At 52.8% G+C, this 26,071-nt stretch overlaps 2 protein-coding genes across 17 annotated transcripts in view, besides 4 other annotated features; one reads left to right on the forward strand and one right to left on the reverse strand.

Moving 5' to 3' along the window:
* Positions 5,697-5,926: a silencer, noted in NCBI's record as "silent region_360". NCBI's record gives its function as "represses an Ori minimal core promoter by ATAC-STARR-seq in GM12878 lymphoblastoid cells {active_cell/tissue: GM12878}" and the evidence as "EXISTENCE:reporter gene assay evidence [ECO:0000049][PMID:35858748]".
* Positions 5,697-6,677: a biological region, named in NCBI's record as "H3K27ac-H3K4me1 hESC enhancer GRCh37_chr1:19991190-19992162".
* Positions 5,705-6,677: an enhancer, noted in NCBI's record as "H3K27ac-H3K4me1 hESC enhancer chr1:19991190-19992162 (GRCh37/hg19 assembly coordinates)". NCBI's record gives its function as "activates a minimal SCP1, AML or CMV promoter by ChIP-STARR-seq in primed H9 embryonic stem cells {active_cell/tissue: H9 hESC(primed)}" and the evidence as "EXISTENCE:reporter gene assay evidence [ECO:0000049][PMID:30033119]".
* HTR6 (5-hydroxytryptamine receptor 6) lies at positions 5,883-21,974 on the forward strand. The gene is made up of 3 exons (NM_000871.3): positions 5,883-7,475; positions 19,575-19,733; positions 19,927-21,974. The coding sequence occupies exons 1-3, from the start codon at positions 6,762-6,764 to the stop codon at positions 20,374-20,376; spliced, it is 1,323 nt and encodes a 440-aa protein (NP_000862.1). The 5' UTR covers positions 5,883-6,761; the 3' UTR covers positions 20,377-21,974.
* Positions 6,678-7,648: an enhancer, noted in NCBI's record as "H3K27ac-H3K4me1 hESC enhancer chr1:19992163-19993133 (GRCh37/hg19 assembly coordinates)". NCBI's record gives its function as "activates a minimal SCP1, AML or CMV promoter by ChIP-STARR-seq in naive H9 embryonic stem cells {active_cell/tissue: H9 hESC(naive)}" and the evidence as "EXISTENCE:reporter gene assay evidence [ECO:0000049][PMID:30033119]".
* Positions 21,975-23,247: 1,273 nt separating the features above from the next.
* Positions 23,248-26,071, reverse strand: part of TMCO4 (transmembrane and coiled-coil domains 4) — a 117,677-nt gene continuing 114,853 nt past the window's right edge. For all 16 annotated transcript variants that reach the window (NM_001349112.3, XM_011541185.4, XM_047416926.1 and 13 more), the window contains one exon: positions 23,248-24,452. In NM_001349112.3, coding sequence (NP_001336041.1) covers positions 24,048-24,452 — 405 coding nt within the window. In that variant the 3' untranslated portion in view covers positions 23,248-24,047. The remainder of the gene's footprint in view (positions 24,453-26,071) is intronic.

Consider the following 26,071-nt stretch of genomic DNA (forward strand, 5'->3'; position numbering starts at 1 on the left):
AGTTTCCCAGGGTTATGCAGTGAAGAAATGTCAGCAGGACTGGAACCCAGGCATCGGCTCAGGGCCCACACCAAGTTTGGGCATGCCAGCACTCATTTGATCATTGAACAAGTCCATAGTAGGACATTTCACCTTTGTTCTACCGAGTGGGAAACTGGGGGTCTGGAAGCACAGGTGACTCGTATAAACTCGCAGTTCCCTTGACTCCTGACCTCACACCTGGACACTTAATGGCGGCACAGTCTTGGGCAGGACCTGCCTTCATCCTGTGTCTGGAACGAAGCTGGGTGTACATTCATAGATAAATAAGGGCTGGGCACAGTGGCTCACGCCTGTTATCCTAGCACTTTGGGAGGCCGAGGCAGGAGGATTGCCTGAGCAACAAAAAGTGAGACCCTGTCTCTATAAAAAATCAAAAAATTAGCCAGGTGTGGTGGTACGCGTCTGTATTCCCAGCTACATGGGAGGTTGAGGTGGGAGGACTGCTTGATCTCTGGAGGTCGAGGCTGCAGTGAGTCATGTTCGTGTCACTACACTCCAGCCTGGGCGATAGAGTGAGAACCTGTCTCAAAAAAAAAAAAAAAAAAAAAAAAAAAAAGAAAGAAAAGGGGGGAGGAAAGGAAGGGGAAGGGGAAGAAGAGAAAGGAAGGAAGAAAAAAGAAGCTTGTAAGGGTCTGCTGGAAATAAAGCAATAAAGCAAGAAGGTGAGTTGGCCTGGCTGGCGCAGCCTGGAATGCTAGCCAGAGTTCAGACTTCATTCTCATTGCGCTGAGGCGCCCTAGAGGCGTCTGCAAAGCTGAGTTTCAGGAGACTAAGCTAGGTTGGAGGAGGGAGATGCTGGGGCTATCAGCGGGGACTGCAAGGCTGCAGGCGGGAGAGGATGGGGCCAGTTGTGTCAGGCCGTGGGGTTGGAGAGGCAGGGCCGTGAGAAGCGCTGCTGATTGGATGTGGGATCCCAGAGAGGGAGTAGCCTGGCTTGAGAGACGTCAATTGAGAAGCATCCCTTGGTGTGCCACCTTCCGGGGATGGAGGGAGTTGCATCCTGCATCCTCCCCGCAGTGAGGAGGGACTTAAAAGTTTTTGTTTTTGTTTTTGTTTTTGTTTTTGTTTTTGTTTTGAGACGGAGTCTGGCTATGTCGCCAGGCTGGAGTGCAGTGGCGCGATCTCGGATCACTGCAACCTCCGCCTTGCGGGTTCAAGTGATTCTCCTGCCTCAGCCTCCTGAGTAGCTGGGACTACAGGCGTACGCCACCACGCCCAGCTAATTTTTGTATTTTTAGTAAAGACGGGGTTTCACCATGTTGGCCAGGATGGTCTCCATTTCTTGACCTCGTGATCTGCCTGCCTCGGCCTCCCAAAATGCTGGGGTTACAGGAGTGAGCCACCGCGCCTGGCCTGGGACTTAAAGTCTTTACAAGGGATTAACACTGATAGCAGCGCAGATAGCAACACAGGTCCCTCTCTTTCCACTTTGTTTGCCTGTATGGAGCCAGCTCTCAACTGGTTTTCTTCCTCTGCTCCAAGCCTCTGAGGAGATTGAGTCTGCTTGGGTTCAAATCTTAGCTGGACCACTGCCTAACTATAGTCTTGAGCAAGTCACATAAGATCTCCAAGACTCACTTTTCCTATGTGCAAAATGGGGAATAATGGTCACACCTACCTCACTCCTAGAGTGGCAGTGAGCGTTATGTGAGTCAGCGCGTGTGTAGAGCTCGGGACATGCCTGGCTTTAGTAAGACCTCAGTGGATGTCAGCTGTTATTATGATTGAGAATGAATGATTGGCCCACGCTGCAGGGTGTTGCACTGATAGTTTTGTTCATTTATTCATTCACTGAACAGATATTTATTGAGAGCCTAATATGTGCCAGAGATCCAGCGTGAACCAGACAGACAAATCCCTGCCTGCCTTCAGGGAGTTTGCCCAGTTGTTCAGTTGCCTTCTGGCACAGAGCAGCTTTGGGCAGGCTGGCAACCTCCCTGGGGCCTTGATTTCTCCACCTCTGTCATGAGGAGCTTGCCCCGGTCCCCTGTGAACTGACGGGCATGGAGGTCTGGGGCAGATGACTCCCTAAAACTCAGCTGTTCCATAGTGGCACCTGCTATCTCCTCTGGGGAGGAAGCTCTCATAGCTAGAAGTAAACAAGCAAAAGCCGAGTATTCTTGAAAGTCCCTCTTTACCCTGAAATTTTTTTTTGTTTGTTTTTTGTTTTGTTTTGTTTTTGAGACGGAGTCTTGCGCTGTCGGCCAGGCTGGAGTGCAGTGGTGCAATCTCGGCTCACTGCAAGCTCCGCCTCCCGGGTTCACGCCATTCTCCTGCCTCAGCCTCCTGAGTAGCTGGGACTACAGGCGCCCGCCACCATACCCGGCTAATTTTTTTGCATTTTTAGTAGAGATGGGGTTTCACTGTGTTAGCCAGGATGGTCTTGATCTCCTGACCTCATGATCCGCCCACCTCAGCCTCCCAAAGTCCTGGGATTACAGGCGTGAGCCACCGCGCCTGGCCAACCCTGAAATGTTAAGAGGTCTAGGACTTCGTTATTTCATGACCCAAATGACAGTTATAGGAGAGCACACATGAAGCGTCTATAAAGGTCCCAGCCAGGTGCGGGCCTCATGCCTGTAACTCTAGTGCTTTGAGAGGCTGAGGCAGGAGGATCACTTGAGGCCAGGAGTTTGAGACCAGCCTGGGCAATACAGCAAGACCTTGTCTCTACAAAAAACTTAAAAAATTTAGCTGGGTGTGGTAGCGCACACCTCTAGTCCTACCTACTTGGGAGGCTGAGGTGGGAAGGTAGCTTGAACACAGGAGTGCGAGGTTACACTGAGCTATGATAGCATCACTGCCTCCAGCCTGGGCCACAGAACGAGACTCTTGTCTCTAAAAAAGAAAAAAAAAGTCTCAAGTTCAAGATAATAACAGTATGGCCACAAGGTGGCACCATAACCCTGGCCCAATCTTAAAATAAAATTTTAAATTTTAGCACAGAGCGCATTATAACAAACATCAGCGGATCCATCACCCAGAATGAACAAATGTTAAAGTTATTGCCAGGTTTTCTTTAGTTAGTTTGTTTGTTTGAGACACTGTCACCGAGGCTGAAGTTCAGTGGCTATTCACACGTGTGATCATAGCTCACTGCAGCCTTGAACACTTGGCCTCAAGCAATCCTCTCACCTCAGTCTCACAAGTAGCTGAAACTAGAGTCGTGCACCACCACGCTCAGCTAATCTTTAGGTCTTTTTTTTAAAATAAAAGATATCAAGTATTGTGGGAAAAGTGAAAGCAGAAAGACTAATATTCTATGCACTACCTACAGATTTTTACAAAGCAACATTTATCAGGCAAAATTTTTTACTCATCTCATTCACAGCTCCACTGCCTTGGTTTCATAGCAGCAGAGAATTTAAGAGGCTTTGCACAACTTCACAGAGCAAGTGGCAGACTCTGGATGATGAACCCAGGATGCTGGGCTCCAAAATCCTTCCACACAGCACCTCTCAGGGTTGCAGCTGTTCACGTCAGAAATCCCTGGGCTCAAGGAGTTAGCACAGAGCTGAATGCATTACGATTGTGCTGATGGGAACACTAAAGCCAAGAGCTAGGTTTTTTTTTTGTTTTTTTGTTTTTTTGTTTTTTTTTTTTTTAGATGGAGTTTCGCTGTTTTTGCCCAGGCTAGAGTGCAGTGGTGTGATCTCAGCTCACTGCAACCTCTGCCTTGTGGGTTCAAGTGATTCTCCTGCCTCAGCCTCCTGAGTAGCTGGGATTATGGGCGTGCATCACTACACCTGGCTAATTTTGTATTTTTAGTAGAGACGGGGTTTCATCATATTGACCAGGCTGGTCTCGAACTCCTGACCTCAGGTGATCTGCCCGCCTTGGCCTCCCAAAGTGTTGGGATTACAGGCGTGAGCCACTGTGCCCGGCCAGCTAGTGTTAACATAGTATCAAAGACACAGATTACATCAGTGTCATTTAATCCCCTCAGCTACTCTGTGAGGTGGGTGCCATATTGTTCTGCTAACTATTACAGAAGAGAAAGCTGTGACCCAAGGAGATGGAGCCACTGGCCCTGTAATCCCAGAGCTGGGATGGAGCGGGGATCCCAAGCCATGTGTTTCTGACTCTCTGCCCAGGCTTGCTGTACTACGTTCTGTTCCTTGGGGGCATGGCAGAAATCGTCACAGTGGTGCAGTGTGGTGGCAAGGAGGAAGGACAGGCCTCCTCTATCTGCTTAAAAGATGCTTCTGTGGGCAAGGCTGGGGCTCTGAGCACCAAATAGCAGCTTAGAGTTGGCGGGTGGGTGCTGCAGGCTCTGAGGTGCCTGAGGGGAGGTTTTTGACCATCTGTAATGGGCTCTCTTTGCCATGGGCATCGAGCAGATCTGGGTTTCAGGTCCACTTCACCACTTGCTGCTGGTGATCTGGGGCAAGGCCCTTGGCCTCTCTGAACCCCAGTTTAACGTCTACCTCTCAGCATTATTGTAGGGGTCGGAATAAATAACTGGAGGAGTAGGAACCGTACAACAAAGCCCCTGGGGACAGCGCAGGAGCCTTCGATTTGGAAAGTATTATTTTTCTGTTTCTGTGGAGAAAAAATGATCCCACCCCGTTCTCTTTATACTACATTTTCTTTTTCTCTTTCTCTTCTTTCTTTCTCTTTCTTTCCTTTCTCTCTTTCTTTCTTTCCTTTTTTTTTTTTTTTTTTTTTTTTTTTTTGACAGAGTCTTGCTCTGTCACCCAGGCTGGAGTGTGCAGTGGCACAATCTTGGCTCACTGGAACCTCTGCCTCCCAGGTTCAAGCAATTCTCCTGCCTCAGCCTCCCGAATAGCTGGGATTACAGGCTCCCGCCACCACGCCCAGCTAATTTTTGTATTTTTGATAGAGACGGGGTTTTACCATGTTGGTCAGGCTGGTCTCGAACTCCTGACCTCAGGTGATCTGCCCACCTCCGCCTCCCAAAGTGCTGGGATTACAGGCGTGAGCCACCTCGCTGGGCCCACTTTCTCTGTTGATTATGCTTATTGTTTATTGTCTGTTTCTTCCACTAGAATGTAAGCTCCATGGAGGTGCGGATCTTTGTTTTGGCCACTGTAGTGTCCTGATGGGTCAGAACAGTGCCTGACATCTAGTGGATGCGCCTTAAAAGATGCATTGAAGTATCTGTTCAATGAATGAATGAATAACAGTATTAACCTGCACAGCAGTGTTAGGCAGAGACTCTTCTCAGCCAGAGGGGAGACGTACAGAGGGAGGTCACACCCAGGGGAAACCACACCCCACGCCTCTGCCTGCAGCGACTCTTAACACACCTGGCCTGGGGATTCTCAAATCTGTTCACGCTCTGTTAGACTAGGAGCGCCAACAGCTCAGGGACTTCATCCTTAGTACCTGGCCCCTTTGGGGATCGGGATGGTTTCTGCGGGAAAGGCCCTGGGGAAGGTTAGCTTCTTGCTCAAACTAACGGTGAAGAATGCCCAGAATTACTAACCCATTTTACAGATATGGCAACTGAGGCCCAGAGGGGTGTCAGGCGATTTGTCCAATATTTCCCAACTCCTGGCTCCCCTGAAAGCCCGGTGACCCCGTTGTGAGTGGGCAGGCACCCATTAGAGAGCAGCCCCTGGATAAGGGCAGGTCACAGCCCCCTGCTCCCAGTTCCGCCTGCGCCGCCGCCACGTGTGGGTTGGGAGGGGCATCTGAGGGTGTGGGGGCTGCCACAGCCCGGGAGGTGACCCCTCGCAGCTGGGGCGCTCTGATCTTCGGCCCACAGGCCCGGGGTGCCGGGACCCCGCCCTCCTGCAGGGCCAGGGCTCGGCTCTCCCCGCCCACCGCGAGGCGGGGCGCACGCTCCGCGGCGCGGGGACCGCGCGCTCCAGGCTGCACCCGGCCTCTCCTCCGCGCGTGCGGGCCCCTCGCGGCGCCTCCCGGGCTCGGGAGACCCGGTCCCGCCGCCCGCCCGGCCCGCGGCCGCCTCTTCCTCTCGCAGCCCCGCGGCGCTTGCCGCAGTCGCAGGCGGCGGAGCAGCCAGAGCGCCCCAGGTACCAGTGCGGGCGGGAGACGGAGGCGACCCTGCTGCCGGGTGGGGAGGGGGCGCCGCGCGGCCGCTGCCCTCCTCTTCCCGCGGGGCCTGGCGGCCCCGGCGAACCCCCGCGCCGCACAGGCCGTGTGCGCCGGATCCCGGTGCCTCCGCGCCAGCTGAGACCTGCCTTTCCCAGGGGCGGCTTTGCTCCGGCCCCTAGGCCCCCGCCCTGGTACCCCACACGCCCACCGGCCGCGGGGAGCCTGCTCCGGCCCGAGAGCGCCCATTCACCCCCCTCACCCACCTCCCCGCGTTCCCACTTCCCCGCACTCTGACCCGGCCGGACGCCCCTCCCCTATCTTGCCGCCCGCCCCCTCCAGGGGGCTCTGCTCCCACCCCAGGGAGCCCATCCGACCTCTGCTTGACTTCCCGCCGCTTCCTTCAGGGGCCTCGGCTCATCGGGTGCCCCTCCCCAAACTTCCAACCCGTTTGCTCCAGGAGTTCCTGCCCCATCCCCGAGGGCGCCCAAATAGCCACACTGTGTCCTCCTGTAGTCGCTGCCCCCTGACCTAGCGCGACCCAGCGCCCCCGCCCATGTCCCCCCACTCACCTCCCCCGGGGGGCGTGGTGAGTCGCGGTCTGTTCTCACGGACGGTCCCCGTCCAGCCTGCGCTTCGCCGGGGCCCTCATCTGCTTTCCCGCCACCCTATCACTCCCTTGCCGTCCACCCTCGGTCCTCATGGTCCCAGAGCCGGGCCCAACCGCCAATAGCACCCCGGCCTGGGGGGCAGGGCCGCCGTCGGCCCCGGGGGGCAGCGGCTGGGTGGCGGCCGCGCTGTGCGTGGTCATCGCGCTGACGGCGGCGGCCAACTCGCTGCTGATCGCGCTCATCTGCACTCAGCCCGCGCTGCGCAACACGTCCAACTTCTTCCTGGTGTCGCTCTTCACGTCTGACCTGATGGTGGGGCTGGTGGTGATGCCGCCGGCCATGCTGAACGCGCTGTACGGGCGCTGGGTGCTGGCGCGCGGCCTCTGCCTGCTCTGGACCGCCTTCGACGTGATGTGCTGCAGCGCCTCCATCCTCAACCTCTGCCTCATCAGCCTGGACCGCTACCTGCTCATCCTCTCGCCGCTGCGCTACAAGCTGCGCATGACGCCCCTGCGTGCCCTGGCCCTAGTCCTGGGCGCCTGGAGCCTCGCCGCTCTCGCCTCCTTCCTGCCCCTGCTGCTGGGCTGGCACGAGCTGGGCCACGCACGGCCACCCGTCCCTGGCCAGTGCCGCCTGCTGGCCAGCCTGCCTTTTGTCCTTGTGGCGTCGGGCCTCACCTTCTTCCTGCCCTCGGGTGCCATATGCTTCACCTACTGCAGGATCCTGCTAGCTGCCCGCAAGCAGGCCGTGCAGGTGGCCTCCCTCACCACCGGCATGGCCAGTCAGGCCTCGGAGACGCTGCAGGTACCTGGGGTGCGCAGGGAGACCCGGGCTGTGGGATAGAGAGGAATGAGCAGCCCCTGGGGACCCCCTGGGCATCCCCACTTAGCACACATTTGCTCATGGCCCTGCGTGGCTGTTGTGAGCGCCCACCTTTCTTCTGAACTCCAGAGCCAATGCCTGACCCACCCACCACAGGATAGCTCCGTCAGGATTTGGGGGCAGGCTTCTCCCAGGTACCATGTACAACAGGGAATTTATGGTGGCCCAACTCTCCCCATCTTTGCCTCCCTGGTCTTCCCCATCATGGCAAATGGCACCATTGCGGCATCACATGCCAGGAACTTAGGAATACTTTTCTCCCTCACCCTCATGCCATTCATTAGCGAGACCTGTTGGCGCTGCTCTAAACAGGTGCCATCTCCCCTGCCACTTCCTACCGGGGAGGCTGTGTAGACTTCTCCTGGCTCCCCTGCTTCTGCCGCAGACCCAGTACTCTCCATCTTCTGCATAGAAGCTGGAGCACTTAAAAAAGAAGTGATCATGTCACTCCCCTGCTTCAGACTCTTCAGGCTTCCCACCGTGCTCCAGATAAAGAAAACCTGTCTCAGGATCTGGCCTCAGGATCCCACACTGCCATCCTCTCCAGTGTCACCTCCCCTCTCCCTCTCTCTTACTCTGCAACAGCCTTGTGGCCTTTCTCACGGTTCTAGAAGGCACTGGGCTTACTTCTGTGCCCAGGTCTTTGCACTTGCTGTTCCCTGTGCCTGGAATGTTCTTCCCCCGGCTGCCTTCTTCCCAGGGGCCATCTTTGACCACCCTATCTGCAGGCCCATCTGCACTCTCCATCCCTGTTATTCTCCATAAGAACAAGTCATAAAAATGACTTGTTCATTTTGCCTCCCTGACTTGAATATAAGCTCCAGGAGGGTCACACATATTGAGATCAGTTTTTTTGCTTTTTTTTTTGTTTTTGTTTTTGTTTTTTTTGAGACGGAGTCTCGCTCTGTTGCCCAGGCTGGAGGGCAGTGGTGCGATCTTGGCTCACTGCAACCTCTGCCTCATGGGTTTAAGCGATTCTTCTGCCTCAGCCTCCTGAGTAGCTGGGATTACAGGCACCCACCACTATACCAGGCTAACTTTTGTATTTTTGGTAGAGATGGGGTTTCACCATATTGGCCAGGTTGGTCTTGAACTCCTGATCGAGGTCAGTTTTGATCCCCACTGTGCATAGTAGGTCCCATCTTGTTTCAGTGCCTGGGAATGGGGTAGGTGCTCTTAGCTCAAGGCCTTGCATTGTCTATAAGTGAGTGCCTGCTCTTGCCATCCAGGCCACAGTGCACCTGACTCCTATTGACCCCCTGGAGGGGTGGGTGTGTAGACCGACCAGGCCTGAGACCCAGTGACTTAGGTCGCAGGTCTTGAGGAAAGTCCCAGCTGGGCTCTTTTGGTGTAGCCCTGAGTGGTGAAAGCTCTAGGAGGGTGGGGGTTGCATTGGAGGTCACTGGGCACATGGGGACTTGGCAGAGGGGTGAAAGGCTAACACCCTCCTTGGCAGTCCCCCAGACAAGCTTGCCTGTCCCACCCAGGTGGGTGAGGCCCAAAGTTGCCCCTGCCTATCACCTGGGGTGGGGGCAGGGCCCCACATGGACTGGGAGTCCTGGCTGCCGCCCAGCTCCTTCTCCCTATCCCTGCTCCCTGTAGAACATTCTTGAGTCTTGGCAGGTGGCTGGGACTCTGACTTGCTTCTTCAGGGGTGGGATGGCTGCCTTAGGCCATATACCCTGGGTTCTTGCTTTTTGTTGTTGTTATTGTTGTTTTTTAAGAGACAGGGTCTTGCTCTGTCACCCAGGCTGGAGGGCTGGAATGTAGTGGCGTGATTATAGCTCACTGCAGCTTAGAATTGATCATAGCTCATTCCAGCCTGAAGAGCTGGTATGCACTGGCCCGATCATAACTCACTGAACTCTTGGGCTCAAGCGATCCTCCTGTCTTGGCCTCCCAAAGTGCTAGGGTTACAGGCTTCCCTGGGTTCTTGAAAAGGAGTGTTTCACAAGCTTCAGGCATTCAAGAACTGCCTGCGGATATCTTCCTTAATGCCTCTTCCACCACCACCTCCACACCTTAAGCCACTTAATTCACATGCACTTGGCATTTTATTTATTTATTTATTAGACACAGGGTCTCACTATATTGCCCAGGCTGGCCTCGAGCTCCCACTTCAGCCTCCCGAGTAGCTGGAATTGCAGGTGCATGCCCCCGTGCCTGGCATTCTTGACATTTTCTTTAAATCATCTCTTTTATATTTTTACTTCCACAAATTTGTGTAGAAAGAAAACTTCGTATCTCCTCTAGAAATGGAAAATCTGTATCCTTTGCCATAAATAGAAGGTGATCACAAACACCACTTCAGTGAAACTGAAGAAGCTCCAGCCCTATCACTGAAATGCAGCTTGGTGTGGTTGAGGTGATGAGCCTAGGGCCTGCTTTCTCTTTGTAGCGTGCTAGAAGGTATTACAAACATGGTAGCATCAACGTGGGACTTTCTCTTGACGCACCTAGAAGAGCTGGAAGACAGCTGTAATGGGCTGACGTGCTCACTCTGTGATTCACTCATTTTATGGGGTGTCCCTTTACCATCTAAAATCATCTCCATTCCCACAGTTCAGGAAGCTCTGCTCTCGTGACTAAGGATGTGAGAAGTTGGCTGGTCTGGGTGAGGTTGGGGCGGGAGAGATCAGGATTCCTAGTTGCAGCGGTGCCAGTACCACACAGATTTTCTTTCCATGAATCTCGCTGGCTGGTACTAGGATTGAACCTGAGTCTGTGGTCTTGGAACCTGGGCAGGAGTCTCCCAGGTGCTAACAGCTGCAGCCCCACAATCTGTGAGCACTCACTCTGTACCAGGCACTGAGCTAAACTTATTAATTCCCCAAACACCCAATGAGTCAAGTACTACCAGCACCCCTGTTAGACAGGTGGGGAAACTGAGGCTCAGAGCGAGAGGTGACTTGCCCAAGATTGCACAGTTGGTAAGTGAGGTTTAAGCTCGGATCTGGCTGGTGCCATCGCCCTGTGCTGGTGTGCTGCCTGTGGGCAGTGATGCTCTTGAAATGCTTTGCTCGGGGACCCCACACCTTGCCCCTTTTCTTCTCTGTGCCTTCTGGTCTTCTCTGTTGGGTCCTCCTGATCCGCCTGAGCCATGGCATCCCTAGTCCTCAGTCCTCGGAGCATCTCGTCCTTTTTCCACATTTGCCCCGTTAGTGACCTCATCTTGTCTCGTAACTGAAAATACCACCCACACGCTGATGACTTCCTACCTGGGCTGCTTACAGGCACGTGCTGCCACGCCCAGCTAATTTTTGTATTTTTAGTAGAGACAGGGTTTCACCATGTTGGCCAGGCTGGTCTCGAACTCCTGACCTTACGTGATCTGCTAGCCTCGGCCTCCCAAAGTGCTGGGATTACAGGCGTGAGCCACTGCGCCTGGCCCTGACTTCCTGATTCCGCTCTTCCTCCCTTTCAACCTTCCGCAGTGGCCCCAATGATCCCCTTTACAATGCAGTTCCTGCTGCATCATTCCTCTGCTCTGGCAGCCTTGTGTCTCACATCACCTGGCCCTCTGACCCTATCTGGCCTCCTCTCCTTCTATAATCCTGCTTGTTTCTTCTCTTTCAGCCATACTGGCCTCCTTGCTGTTCCTTGAACACACCAAGCCCATTCTGCCTCACTTGCGGTTCCTTCTGCTTGGAGTGCCCTTTCTTCAGGTCTCCACCCTGTTCTCCCACTAATTTCCATCATTTCCTTCCAGCCTCTGTTGAATTGCCTCCCCTAATCCCTCTCTCAAGAGTAGCACCTCTCACCCTCCCCAGGTCCTCTCCAGTCCTCATTTCCTAAGTTATTTCTCTCAGCAGCACCTCCTACCCCCTGACGTGTTCTATACCTACCCATTTTTATTTATTTACTGTTTATTTCCTTCTTCTAGAATTTAGGCCTATGAGGGTGGGGAACTTGTTTTTCTGCCTTTTTTTTTTTTTTTGAGACAGAGTCTCACTTTCTCGCCCAGGCTGGAGTGCAGTGGCGTGATCTTGGCCCACTGCAACCTCCGCTTCCCAGGTTCAAGCAATTCTCCTGCCTCAGCCTCCGGAGTAGCTGGGCTATAGGTGCACATCGCCACACCGGGCTAATTTTTTGTATTTTAGTAGAGATGGGGTTTCACTGTGTTGCCCAGGCTGGTCTTGAAACCCTGAGCTCAGGCAATCCACCCGCCTTGGCTTTCCAAAGTGCTAGGATTACAGGCGTGAGCTACCATGCCTGGCCTGTCTTTCTGTTTTCCCCCATGGTCCCAGGAATTAGGGGCACCTGGCACATCATGGGTGCTCAGTATGTATTGATGGAAGGAATGCAGTGTACACAGTGCTTCAGGGAGCCTGGTATTCCAGCCCTGTTTGTGCGGTTGCCTGTTTTCTCATGCCTTTCAGAGTCACTTCTTGAGTGTCATGATCCTGAACTTTTTATCGTGTGAATTCATTTGCTTGGTGACATGTATTGACACCTGCTTTGCACAGCAGCTGTTCTAGGCTGTGTATGTAGTGGTGAACGAGACCAACAGTGCCTGCCCTCTTGAAATCTGTTCTAGTTAGGAGTACAGACATTAATCATCAAACTGTACCACGATGAGGATTATGGAGCTTATAGGAGGGATGCTTCACCCAGCAAACATTCAAAATCTATTATTCACTGTGTATGTTTGAAGATGAAAGCAAAGCACTCACACCAAGCCCTAAAGTGAAAGGCTGGAGGGGTCTTCATGGGTTGGTTAGGCCAGCGCCTTACTTCTAAGGCAGAGTGACTCAGGGGCCTCTCAAGCCAGAAATGTGTCTGTTCTAATCCCCCCGCTTTCTGGAAAGCCCATTCTCTTGGTTTGAACGTGACGTGTGCAAATTCTGCCTCTGTTCCTGCTTTCAAATCCACTCGGCTCCTTAAGTAAGCCTCCTGCAGGCCGTTTTCCTGATTGCCTGGTGAACGGCCTGCACTTTGGGAAAATGCATCTGAGAAATTGCATTGGCCCTCCTGGGTCACCGCCTCTTTCTTCCCACCAGAGCTGGCCTGGAGGTGGAGGCCCCCTCAATGTTTGGACCTAAAGGAAGTGATGAGAATGAATCAGATGTGGGTGTCTTGGACCCCTTCCCTTTTCCTGTGCCCAGCCCCACTTAGCCTTGGCTTCCTGCCCCATTCCACTCTCTAGCTTCCCTGCAGAGGGAAAGGAGCTGGGCATAGGTCTCGAGGCCCCAGTTCCTCTGGGGTCAGAACATGGGAGCTGGTCAGCCTTGAGCATTTCATCCCCTCTCCATATGTCTATTTATGGAAATGGGCTTTTAAAAGGCCACTGGTTGGCTTAGTGATTTCCACTAGGTCTTCCCACCACCTCAGGGCTGGGAGGAAGGGGTCCTGCTTAGCACTGTGGCTGGGAGTGTGGGCTGGGGATGGAGGAAGAGCCGTGGGGCAGAGTGAGGAGCTACCAGGGCAGGGGAGTGTGTGTGTTGGGAGCAGGGTGGAAGGTGGGGGCCTGGATGTGGGTGGCACTGAGCCATCCTTGGGAGATTGTGGAGGGTCCAGGGTGTTAGGGGCAGTTTCAGAGATGCAGCATGGGCCACTGGCTTGAGGGAGAGCCCAGCAGGAGAGGCCCAGCCTCCTCCTCTTCCTGGCAGGATTTCTGGGTCTCTGTGGTCCATAACCTCATCCCATCTCTACACCTCACCTTCCTCCCCACTCCCATCCATCCTTCTCTCCTTCAGTTCCCATGTCTTCCTTCTGTGTGCCCCGTCTTCCCCTCCCCCTTCTCCTGTCCCATCAATTTCTCCCGCTTTTCCTCCTCCCCCTCCTTTTTTCACCCTCTCTCACCCAACTAAGCGTCATTCTGTCTTAGTGATCCATCTTCCCTTCCATCTCTGTCTTTCCTCCTCCTCAGAGGAGGAGGCTGTGATCACAGAAATATCTGTGAGGGGGAGGAGGGGGCCGAGCCAGGGAGAGGCTGGCAGAGTGACACTGCCGAGCATGGCAGGCTTGGCTGCTGCTCAGAGCCAGGCAGCCTGGTGCAGCCAGGGCTGGAGCAGGAGCTTGGGGGTCTGGCTGGTTAGGGTTCAAGCCCTGCCTCTTTTGCCTCATAGCTGGACGATCTTGGGCAAGGCATTTTACCTCCTTATGCTCCAGGGGTCATGACATCTATCACACAAGTCTGTTTGAAGAGTCAATTAGATAATATACATAAAATACCAGGCACATAGTAAGTGCTCAACAAATTTCAGCTAGGCAGTGACTCACAACTGTAATCCCAACACTTTGGGAGGCCAAGGCAGGAGGATTCTTTGAAGCTAGGAGTTCGAGACCAGCCTGGGCAACATAGCGAGCTCCTGTCTCTAAAAATATATATAAAAAATTAGCCAGGCCTGGTGGCACATACCTTTAGTTACAGCTATTCGAAGAGGCTGAGGTGAGAGGATTGCTTGAGCCCAGGCAACAGAGCAAGACCCCATCTTTAAAACAACAACAATAGTTGTTCGTGCCTCTCTTTTCCTGTTGTTGGTAAAATATGTTTCTGGGGAGCTCACCACCTTGACCCTTTCTAGGGAAAAACATCACTGCTGTCACCAGCACCATCACCATCATTATCAAACAGCTGAGCCAGAGACTAATAATAATGACAACAATAGCTAACACTTCTATGGGACTTCCTATGTGCTGGCACTGTTCTAACTTTCAGTGTATTATTTTATTTTATCCTTATTATAATCCTATGAGGTAGATGCTATTTTAGTGCCATTTTACAGAACAGAAAGTGGAAGCATAGATGAAGTAACTTGCTTAAGGTCACTCCACTAGTTTGTAACAGAGCCAGGATTTGAAACCAGGCAGTCTGGCTCCAGAGTCTGTCTTGTAACTCTCACACTATGATCAGATGATGGTAACAAAATTTAATTGTGGGCTGGGCGTGGTGGCTCACGCCTGTAATCCCAGCACTTTGGGAGGCCGAGGTGGGTGGATCACCTGAGATCGGGAGTTTGAGACTAACATGGAGAAACCCCATCTCTACTAAGGTACAAAATTAGATGGGCATGGTGGTGCACACCTGTAGTCCCAGCTACTTGGGAGGCTGAGGCAGGAGAATCGCTTGAACCCGGGAGGCAGAGGTTGTGGTGAGCCGAGATCGCGCCATTGCACTCCAGCCTGGGCAACAAGAGCGAGACTTCGTCTCAAAAAATAAATAAATAAATAAATAAAATTAATTGCACAAAGGAATACATAAATACACTTTAAAAATTCAACAATAGGGATGAAGGAAAAGACCTCCAAATTCCAGCTAATCACCTTTCACTCCCAGGGACATGCATCAATTTAGGATATGTCCTTCTAGGTCTTTTTTTTTTTTTTTTTTTCTGTTAGGACAGAGTGTCACTCTGTCACCCAGGCTGGAGTGCAGTGGTACAACCACGGCTCACTGCAGCCTTGACCTCTTCTGACTCAGGTGATCCTCCCACGTCAACCTCCGGAGTAGCTGGGGCTACAGACGCACATCACCATGCCTGGCTAATTTTTGTATTTTTTGTAGAGATGGGGTTTCACCATGCTGCCCAGGCTGGTCTTGAACTCCTGGACTCAAGCAATCCACCTGCCTCGGCCTCCCAAAGTGCTGGGATTACAGGTGTGAGCCACTGCACCTAGCCCTTCCGGGTCATTTTCTATGTGCTTATGTATTTATACAGGTACTTAAAGAAACTTGGTGCTTTGTGTTGGATATTGTTTTTTAAACAAATAGGATCATGCTGTATCTATTACTTTGCAACCTGCTATTATAATTTAATAATCATGGAGATCTTTTCATTTGATTGATTCATTCTTTTAAAACATCTGTGTAGTATTCTGTAGTGGGAATTCACCGTGGTTTATTTAAGCCACTCTTCTCTTTTTTTTTTTTTTTTTTGAGACAAACTCTCACTCTGTCACCCAGGCTGGAGTGTGGTGGTGTGATCTCGGCTCACTGCAGCCTCCACCTCCTGGGTTCAAGTGATTCTCCTGCCTCAGCCTCCTGAGTAGTGGGACTACAGGCATGCACCACCACACCTGGCTAATTTTTTTATTTTTAGCAGAGACAGGGTTTTGCCATGTTGGCCAGGCTGGTCTCGAACTACTGACCTCAAGTGATCTGCCCACCTTGGCCTCCCAAAGGGCTGAGATTATAGGCGTGAGCCACTGTGCCCAGCCTAAACCACTCTTCTTTTGATGGACATTAAGGCTGTTTCCAATTTTTTCCTATCACAAGTAGTGCTGTGGGACACATTCTTGGATATGTGAAGCGTGCAGACATGAATGTAGGTGTTGGCTGGAAGCTGTATGTGTGATTGTTGGCTGGAAGGGCCCTGGATTGTCCTTCAGGAAGCTGCCCTCTGACACTGATACAGAAGGGAGATGCAAACGACAGGACATGGCCCCAAGGGGCTGCGAGGTGCTTATGGGGGAGAGAGAATCCAGAAGGGTGATGCCAGCATCAGCCAGATGCCGGGGTGTGGACTAGTGACAGCCATTGGCTTCTGCTCCATGAGGGCCTCTTGCTGACAGTGGTGGGGTTTCTGTAACCCCACCTGACTGGGCCCATGGATGCCGTCTCCAAAGGTGGAAGCAGCTTGGTGAAGTGGGCAGAGTGGTGTTCCTGAGGCCAGAAATGATGGAATCCCTAACTCAACTCTTAACTGCTGTGTGACTTCTGGCAAGTCATTTTGCCTCTCCGAGCCTCAGTTGTCTCATCTGCAAAATGGGGATGACAATGCCTACCTCTCATAAAGACTGAATGACCTAATGACTATCAAATGCTGATGTGTAGTAAGTGCTCGAGAAATGGGGATGATAATGCTGATTTGTTCAGGGCCACTCAGGTTTTGGTTGGAGGCCTTGTACTGGAACAGTGTGACCTTGGGAAGGGTAGAGTGTCCTCTACCCTTTCTGAGCCTCAGTTTCCTTCTCTCTTTCCTCTTCCCTGTGTTCTTGAGTCAACTCTCTGGAAAGCAGAGGAGAAAGAAAAACCTGGAGTTGTTCCCAGGGAGACTAGAAAGGGAATCTCAGTTCATCTTCACCCCATTCTCTGGAGCTCCTTCCCCCAATGATTGACCTGAGATATTCCCCCTAGTGCCTCAGTTTCCCCCATGCCCTAGAGCTGTGATAAGATCAGGGCTACCTCCTCTCCCCTGCCCTCCTCAGGTCACTAAGGGTCAGAGCGATGCCTGGATGAGACAGTGTCTCATCCCTCTCCATGCCGTCTATTCCCATTGATGGCAGCAATTTGAAGGTGTGGCAGGTCTTAGGAGATTCTTTTGGGGAAGCAGGAGCCTCTTCCTCCAGGCTGACCATGGTGTGGTCACAAAAGCCATATAGAGTCCACTCTGGAGGAGAGAAAACTAGAAGAGGAGAGAGGAGAGTAAAACCCTCTTTTACTCCCTTGCTAACTTGGAATGACTTTGGAGCAGACTCGTGTATGATGGGGTGGAGTCGGAGGAGAGCATCCTCTAGTCATAGCATCTGAGCCGCAGCGTGGTGACTCAGAGCATTTGTCTTGGTGTCTGTGCTGCTTTGGGGAGGCCAGAGCTGCTGGCAGAAGGACAGGCTCCCCAACAGTGCTCAAAATCACCCCAACCTCACAACACATATCACTGAAACAGCAACATGGCTACCAGGTATTTAGCACCTACTCAACGTCAGACTCTGTGCATGCATTTATTATCCATAGCTTCACAGCGACGCCGTAAGCTGAGTATCATTTCTCCCATTTTGCAGATGTGGAAACAGAGGCTCTCTCAAGATCACAGAGCGAGTAAGTGGTAGAGGCCACTTTGATTTGAAGCCAGATCACCTGTCTTAAAAGCCCAGGTTTTGCCTCTGTACAATGCTGTCTCACCAAGACAGAAGGGAGAAACCAAGGCCTCTGTTGTGAATTTGTATAACCTTGATATTTGTACAACCAGATTTCATGTGAAGAAACACGTTGAGGGGTGGGGATTACGATGTGCTTCGTCTCCCTGCCCCAGCAACCTCCTTGCCATTTCAGAATTAGAATTCCAGCTTCTATGAAAAGACCGCGTGTAGTTGGGGTTTCAGCACCATGGACAAGACACCAACTCTGGAGGCCTAGAAAGAGCCGGGGCTGGAGGAGAGGGCATGCGCAGCAGAGTGGGGTGGGGTGTTGGCTTTGGTGCTCCCTGGAGTTGACACATCTTGGCTTTGCCTCCTCCGCCTTTCCATCTGCGGAAGGTTGCCTGGGAATCTGGCTCTGCTCCTGCCTCCTTCTGACCTCATCTCCCCATATCCAACCCACCTCTGGCCTCGAGAACTAAGCAGGGCTCTCACGCAATTTAGGAACTGGACAAATCCCAGTGCCGGGAAAATCCCTGGCTGTCAAAGCCCAGATGTATTCACAGACCGCAAACACACCCTTTGCGTAGCTCATGATGAATTGTGCACACCACTGCCCACGGGCATTAAATAGTAAATAGAGGTGGGCCTAATTTTGTGTAAATCTAATATATGAAAATCCACGTTGATTACAGAAACACATGGTTTAGAGGAGGGCTTCACATCCCAGCTTTCACGGACTCCTAGGGGTTTCTGGTGGAAACCTAGAGACTTCAAGGTCATCTCTGAACCTTCTGGAAGTGTGAAACGTTGTTTTCTTGTCTGTGTGTGTGTGTGTAAAAATTTACAAGCCTTTTATTTTCTGGGGAGAGGTTTGTGTGTGTGTGTGTGTGTGTGTGAGATTTCATTAGATTTTCAAAAGGCTCATGAAGTTTAACAAGTGAAGAGCACTGCTGAGCTAAAGAATGATCCAGCTCAGAGAGCCCTTTGGGACTGTGGGGGCCAGTTTGCAAAGTCAAATTCTAACCTCCCCGGGCCCATGCCTTCCTTTCAGTGGCTGCTGGGAAGTAGCTTCTTTCTCTTCCTCCCTCCTACCCCTTCCTCCTCTTCCTGTCCACTTTTGAGAATGGAGATGCCTGCCAGTTCGCAGTATAATTGAGCTATAAAATGCCAAGGTAACCAGCATCCTTAGGAGCCTATTAAGAGATTTAGCTGCAAACATTGGCTCTGTGCACACATTCTCAAAAAAGCCTTTCTATTTTGTGGGGCTCAAGAGTAATTGCCCAGGCAAGACTATTGCTCCCAAATGTGAAGACAATCCACATACAAAGCAATTGCCAAGCTCTGGACAGTAACAGGTCCTCTTTTTCAAGTACTGTTCAATTGCAATTGATTTTGTGTGTGTCTGTGTGTGTGACAGAGTCTCGCTCTGTCACCCAGGCTTGGAGTGCAGTGATGTGAGCTTGGCACACTGCAACCTCCACCTCCTGGGTTCAAGCAATTCTCCTGCCTCAGTCTCCTGAGTAGCTGGGATTACAGGTGCCTGCCACCACGCCTGGCTAATTTTTGTATTTTTAGTAGAGGCAAGGTTTCACCCTGTTGGCCAGGCTGGTCTCAAACTCCTGACCTCAAGTGATCTGCCTGCCTCGGCCTCCCAAAGTGCTGGGATTACAGGCGTGAGCCACTGTGCCCAGTCAATTGCAATTGATTTCTGTAGCGCTAAAGGCTTTGGAAGGTGCTGGGCTCATTGTAATGTGTGTGTTGGCCTGTGTCACGTATTGTCTTTGCAGGGATGGTTGTTCTTCTGAACCATCTGATTTGTGTTTCAGGTATTGCTCTGTCTCACTGCACTTCCTAGAGCTCCTTATGAAATTCTGGGTCAGGGTCAGGGCTCAGTGTGGGACCAGGATCAGAGCTCAGTCTAGGTCCACAGTTGAGGCTTGGTTTGAGAACTTGGTTATGTAGGGCTTTATGGTAGGTGTCAGGGTTCAGTGGGGGGCCAAGGTCAGGGCTTGGTTTATTGCTGATGTCAGGGCTTGGCCTGGAGTCAGGGTCAGGGCTCAGTCTAGGACTCTAGTTGGGACTCAGTCAAGGAACAGGGCCCAGTTTAATCCTGGCACTAGGGCTCAGTCTAGAATTAGGATTGAAGCTCAGTCTGTGGCTAGGATCAGGGTCAGACGGGGGCCCTTTCTCAACGGACTCATGTGGCCTTCCTTTCCGCAGGTGCCCAGGACCCCACGCCCAGGGGTGGAGTCTGCTGACAGCAGGCGTCTAGCCACGAAGCACAGCAGGAAGGCCCTGAAGGCCAGCCTGACGCTGGGCATCCTGCTGGGCATGTTCTTTGTGACCTGGTTGCCCTTCTTTGTGGCCAACATAGTCCAGGTAATGCCACGGCAGGGGGCAGGTGAGTCCGGCCCTTGCAGGAGAGGCCCTGGATCCCAGCCCAGGCATGGGGACAGGGGAGGGTAGGCTGCCTCTCGTGGTGCGTGTGTGTGTGTGTCTGCTCCATACATGCTGGGAAGGGTGGCCTGGGTCCCTGCCCTGGGACCAGGCATGATGCATCCCCTCCCCCCAGGCCGTGTGCGACTGCATCTCCCCAGGCCTCTTCGATGTCCTCACATGGCTGGGTTACTGTAACAGCACCATGAACCCCATCATCTACCCACTCTTCATGCGGGACTTCAAGCGGGCGCTGGGCAGGTTCCTGCCATGTCCACGCTGTCCCCGGGAGCGCCAGGCCAGCCTGGCCTCGCCATCACTGCGCACCTCTCACAGCGGCCCCCGGCCCGGCCTTAGCCTACAGCAGGTGCTGCCGCTGCCCCTGCCGCCGGACTCAGATTCGGACTCAGACGCAGGCTCAGGCGGCTCCTCGGGCCTGCGGCTCACGGCCCAGCTGCTGCTTCCTGGCGAGGCCACCCAGGACCCCCCGCTGCCCACCAGGGCCGCTGCCGCCGTCAATTTCTTCAACATCGACCCCGCGGAGCCCGAGCTGCGGCCGCATCCACTTGGCATCCCCACGAACTGACCCGGGCTTGGGGCTGGCCAATGGGGAGCTGGATTGAGCAGAACCCAGACCCTGAGTCCTTGGGCCAGCTCTTGGCTAAGACCAGGAGGCTGCAAGTCTCCTAGAAGCCCTCTGAGCTCCAGAGGGGTGCGCAGAGCTGACCCCCTGCTGCCATCTCCAGGCCCCTTACCTGCAGGGATCATAGCTGACTCAGATATCGTGTTCTGAAGGATGCTCCACTGTTGAGTGTAACTTGTGTGTGCAGAGGATGGGCTGGAGGACTCTGGATGTTGGGGAGAAGGACCTCTTGGTTCAGGTTAGGATGAAAACAATCATGACCTTTGCCCATTCTGTCAGGCTGGACGGGAGGGAATGCCCCCACCTGCAGGCATGGATTAATGCTGGGCTGAACCCCTTGCTACTCACAGTGTAGTCCATGGACAATCGGCATTGCCGTCACCTTTGGGAGTTTGTGAAAAATGCACATCTCTGCCCCTGCCCAGACCTGCTGAGTCAGAACTGCATGTTACCAAGATCCCAGGTGAATCATGTGCCCATTACAGTTTGAGATGTGCTGCCTTAGATCATCTTTAACCCTCAGAATGATTTGCTGGATGGTTTTTGGACCTGTCAGTCTCCCCTCCCTGGTATATATGTGGCAGCAGCTGCACCTGGGAGGCAGGCAGGCATGCATGTGGGCCTCTGCTCTACCACCTATGAGCTCTGGGGCCTGACACGAGTTATTTAACCTCTCCGAGCCTCGGTTATCCCATGTGTAAGGTAGAGAAATGATGCCTATCTTGCAGGTTGTCTTGAGAATTAAGACAATGTGTGCCCAGCACCCAGTACACGGTCAGTTAATTGGTACGTTCTGTTGTTACGACCCCCGGCTATCCAGCCCCCTGGCCTCTCCGGCTGTGTGTCAGGAAGGGCTCTTTGCTCCCGTTGTTCTCTTTCCATTTGCCTCCCCCTCTTCAGCCCTGGCCTAGCCTCCCAAAGCCTGACTCTGGTTCCCCAACTCCCTGTTCTGGCTCCTGGGTGGGGACCCCATCTCTCAGGGACCCTCCCAGCTCCCAAGCTGCTGCCCTGCCTTTCCTGGGGGCAAAAGGGGCAGGTGGCAGTTTCTTTTTCAGCCTCAGAACTGGTTTTCCTCAATCCTGGGGGGTCCTTGGACCTAGAAGGGAACAACTGATGGGGATAAACCCAGCCCCTTGCCCACCTGCCTCTGGCCTTCCCTGGGGTCAGTGAGAGAAATGGGAATGGTAGCTACTTGGGTCAGCAGAGTAGAGTCAAAGAGCTGTTCCTGGTGTGAGGTGGGGCCCACGAGGCAGGCAGGTGGACTCTGGCACAGGGGCCTTGGTTTCTGGGGGCAGGGGGTTGGGGAACTCTTGGTCGCCAGTTTACCTGCCATAGGTCCCTTTTCAGCCCTGCCTCCCCCAAGTTCCATCAACACAAACTCCCAGGGGGTCCTCCATGCCTGGCCTGGCCCTCTCCTTGGTGCTGATGAGACACAACTCTGGCCCCGGCGGCTGGCCTCTGAGGGGCCATGGTGCTTGCGGGGCTTCCCCTATCCCCCAGGTCTGCCCAAGGGGACTCTCAATAAACTCTAGCTGAAGGCAGTGGCTGTGGTGTGGACTGGATTCAACTGAGGGGCCACTCGGGGCTTGAGAAGCAGCTGGTGTCGTGGGGAGGCCTGGGTGTAGGTGTCCTGGGTTCTGGTCCAGATTCTGCCCCTTCAATCTGGGACCCCAGAAAAATCCTTTCCCCTTTCAGAGCCTCCATTTCCCATGTATGACATGAGCAGCTTAGTTTAAAAGCAACAAGAGTTGCATAAATACTTGTTTTTAAATTTTGTGTTTTAAGAGTTGGAGTTGGCTGGGCATGGTGGCTCATGCCTGTAATCCCAGCACTTTGGAAGGCTGAGGTGGGTGGATCATCTGAGGTCAGGAGTTGGAGACCAGTATGGCCAATATGGTGAAACCCCATCTCTACTAAAAATACAAAAAATTAGCTAGGCGTGGTGGCAAGTGCCTTAATCCCAGCTACTCAGGAGGCTGAGGCAGGAGAATCCCTTGAACCTGGCAGGTGGAGGTTGCAGTGAGCTGAGATCATGCCATTGCACTCTAGCCTGGTGACAAGACAAGACTCCGTCTCAAAAAAAAAAAAAAAAAAGAGTCAGAGTCTCACTCTGTCACCCAGGCTGGAGTGCTGCAGCACAATCATAGCTCACTGCAGCCTCGAGCTCCTGGGCTCAGGTAATCCTCCTGCCTCAGTCTCCTGAGTAGTTGGCAGTGGCTAATTTTTTTATTTTAATTTTTTGTCAAGACTGGGTCTCGCTATGTTGCCCAGGCTGATCTCCAACTCCTGGCCTCAAGCAATCCTCCCACTTTGGCCTCCCAAAGTGCTGAGATTACAGGCGTGAGCCATAAATGTGTGTCGAATGAACAAATGAATACACACGCACCTGAGCAGGGATCTGGCTCCTATGTTCTACGACTCTAATTTTTGCTGCCCTCCTCCCACCTCCCCCAGAGCTTGTCAATCCTTCCTCTGCCTGGGCCTTGATTTCTCCATCTGCACAACAAGGGTGCATTATCTCTGGCCCTGCCATTCAGGGACTGTGGGAGGAACAAAGAGGAAAGCTCTCACGGATGCAGACCCAGTGGCTTGGGACTTGGGCATTAGAGTCTGACATACAGGGGCCTGGAACTTGGCTCCATCGTTAACCAGCTGTTTGGCCTTCAGCAGGTTACCTGATCCCTCTGAGCCTCAGTTTCCCCAAATATAAAATGAAGATAATAATAGTCCCTACCTCATAGGATTGCTGTGAATTCCAACTGACACAACCCAGGCAACCACTTGGTATGTGGTACATGCTCAAGAAGTGGTAGCTTCTTCTTATTATTATTTATTGCTGTTGTTATCCCCTCTGTTCCTGCTACAGGAAATTCTTTCCATGTAAAATTCATTCTTGTCCCCAGGCCTAGTTCACAGCCATACTGAATGCAATTCAGCATGTATTCACCATGCTCTGTTAGTGGTGTCCAGATGTTGCATGACGGGGGAGCACACTCACATTGTGTCTGTGTGACTCATGTCCCTGGAGTTATGCAGCGCACAGCCTACATGGCTGTACAGGGCAGATCTGATTGGATCTCCTAAGAGCAGGAGTGAGCTGCCTTCTTTGTACCTGCGCCTGCTCTGTTGCTGCCAGTTGATGGTGCCTGTCAGCTGGTGGGCAGCCCTGGAGTGTGGATGGAAGAACAGGCATGCACCTGGTTTTATTGAGGCCAGGGGAGAGCTGGTGTGGGAGCCTCAGGCCCCAGAGAGCCCTCGGGACCTCCTGATGGACAGCCAGACTCCAAAGCTATGAGAAGTACAGAAAGCCCACAGTTGGTTTCCGGTCCTGGGACTCTAACCTGTGCTTGGTTGACTCTGCAGGTCTCTGATGAGGGGGCAGCTGCTCCCTGGTGGGGCTCCTCTGGGGACAGGCAGCTTCCCAAGGGTGGGCGTGTTCTCTCCTCCAAATTCCCCTTCCTTCCATTTCCTTTCCCTTTCAGTTCCAATTCCTTCCATTTAGGAAAGAGGCCTGTGGAAATCCTGTACCTCCAGAGCTCCTGGGAGGAACCCGAGGGTATAAGAGAGAGCTGCATATGGAGACTGGGGAAGACGGCTCAGGTCCCCTGCTGTGGTCAGTCCAGCCCCGTGCTGGGGCCCTGGGTCTTGCAGGCACAATCGGGGCAGCCCAGTGGGTTGGGGTCCATGCCATGGCTGCAGATGGGGGGCCTTTCAGGGCTGGCAGCAGCAGGAAGGGAGGCCCCTTCAGACTGGTCCAGCCCTACTGGCACCTGGGCTTGGCTGGGGTCTGTGGACATGGCCAATTTGGAGGTGTCTCCGGATATGGGACCCTGGGTTTGCCCAACCTGGTGGGGGGTCTCGCCTGATGAGGCGGCAGCTGCTGCCTGGCGAGGCTCCTCGGAGGGCAGGCAGCCTGGGGCCAGCAAGAGCCCCTTCTCGTCCCAGCCTGGCTTGGTGCGGATGCCCACGGCCTTCAGGATGGCATCCATCTGCTTGGCATAGTCCAGGTGGCCGCTGACCTGCAGGAGACAGTGAGTGAGCACCACCGTGGGTGTGCAGAGCCCAGCCCTCCCCAGGGACCTCCGGCCAAACTTCTGGGCCTCAGCCTTGCCCTGAGCATCCACAGCCAACGAATCACCAAACCCATGACTCCATCCCTCAGTGGCTCTCAAATCCAGAGTGGGTGGGAAGGCTCTATGTTCAAAGCTGTTCTAGAATTTATTAAATAAAGATGAAGGATGTTTCTCTAAAAAATCTGGATCCTTTTGGGGCAGGAAGGAATCTCCTGATAAACAGAAAGGTGGAGTAGAAGCTCTCGTTCTTTGTCTGAAGCTTTTTTTTTTTTTTTTTTTTTTTTTTTTTTGAGACAGGCTCTTGCCCAGGCTGGAGTGCCGTGGCGCAATCTTGGCTCACTGCAACCTCCACCTCCCAGGTTCAAGTGATCTTCTTGCCTCAGCCTCCTGAGTAGCTGGGATTACAGGCGTGTGCCACCATGCCAGTAATTTTTTGTATCTTTAGTAGAGAAGGGGTTTCACCATATTGGCCAGGCTGGTCTCGAACTCCTGGCCTCAAGTGATCCACTGGCCTTAGCCTCCCAAAGTGTTGGGATTACAGGCGTGAGCCACTGTGCCCGGCAGCTTTTTTTTTTTTTTTTTTTTTTTTTAAGGGATGGGCTTTTTGTTAAAATAGCATGAGAAAAAAGAAAAATGAAAACAGAGAGAGAGAGAGATGGGTTCTCTCTCTCTCGTCCAGGCTGGAGTGCAGTGGTACAACCATAGCTCACTGCAGCCTTGACCTCTTGGGCTCTAGTGATTCTCCCACCTCAGCCTCCTGAGTAGCTGGGATTACACGTGCATGCTACCATGACTGGCTAATTTTTAAATGTTGTAGAGATGGGGTCTCCTATGTTGCCCAGGTCTTGAACTCTTGGCCTCAAGAAATCCTGCTGTCTCAGCCTCCCAAAGTGCTGGGATTACAGGCCTGAGGCACTGTGCCCAGCTGATGCCTGCAGCTCTAGGCTACTCCAGAAGGGCTCTGCTGTTCACTAGTTGTGACACCTTGGTCAAGCCCCTCTACCCCTCTACCCCTCTGGCTCTCAACTTCCTCCGCTGTAAAAAGGGGAACACAAGGGTAGTTTCACCAGAGGTTGGCTGTGAGGATTTTCCCTGGAAAAGTCCTCAAATTGGAAAGAAAGCTACAGCATAGACTGCAAGGTGCTGGCTACAACTCACTCTGCCGTTTATTCTTTAGTCACAAGGACTCACATTTATAGCTGGGCACACTCCCCAGGCTTCCTTGCAGCTAGGAATAGCACTGTGACTAGTTTTGGCCCATGAGTTGAAGCGGTAGTGTGATGTGGTGTTCCTTGGAATTCTCTTTAAGAGGAGGAGTGCTCTTCTTCCCTCATGTCCTCTTTCCTGCTGGCTGGAATTCAGACGAGATGGCCAGAGCTTGAGCAGCCATCTTGGGCCATGAGTCAGCCCACTAAGGAAGGCAGAACAAGCAGCAAGAGGGAAATTTGGTCCTTGAAGACTGTGGAGTGGCACATCAGCCCTAAATGGCCTATTCTGATTTCTTTTATGTGACAGAATCAACCCTAGTGTATTTAAGACAATTAGGCCAGGCACAGTGTCTCACC

This window comes from Homo sapiens, chromosome 1 (assembly GCF_000001405.40).
Source record: "Homo sapiens chromosome 1, GRCh38.p14 Primary Assembly".
In the NCBI taxonomy this organism is placed as follows: domain Eukaryota; kingdom Metazoa; phylum Chordata; class Mammalia; order Primates; family Hominidae; genus Homo; species Homo sapiens.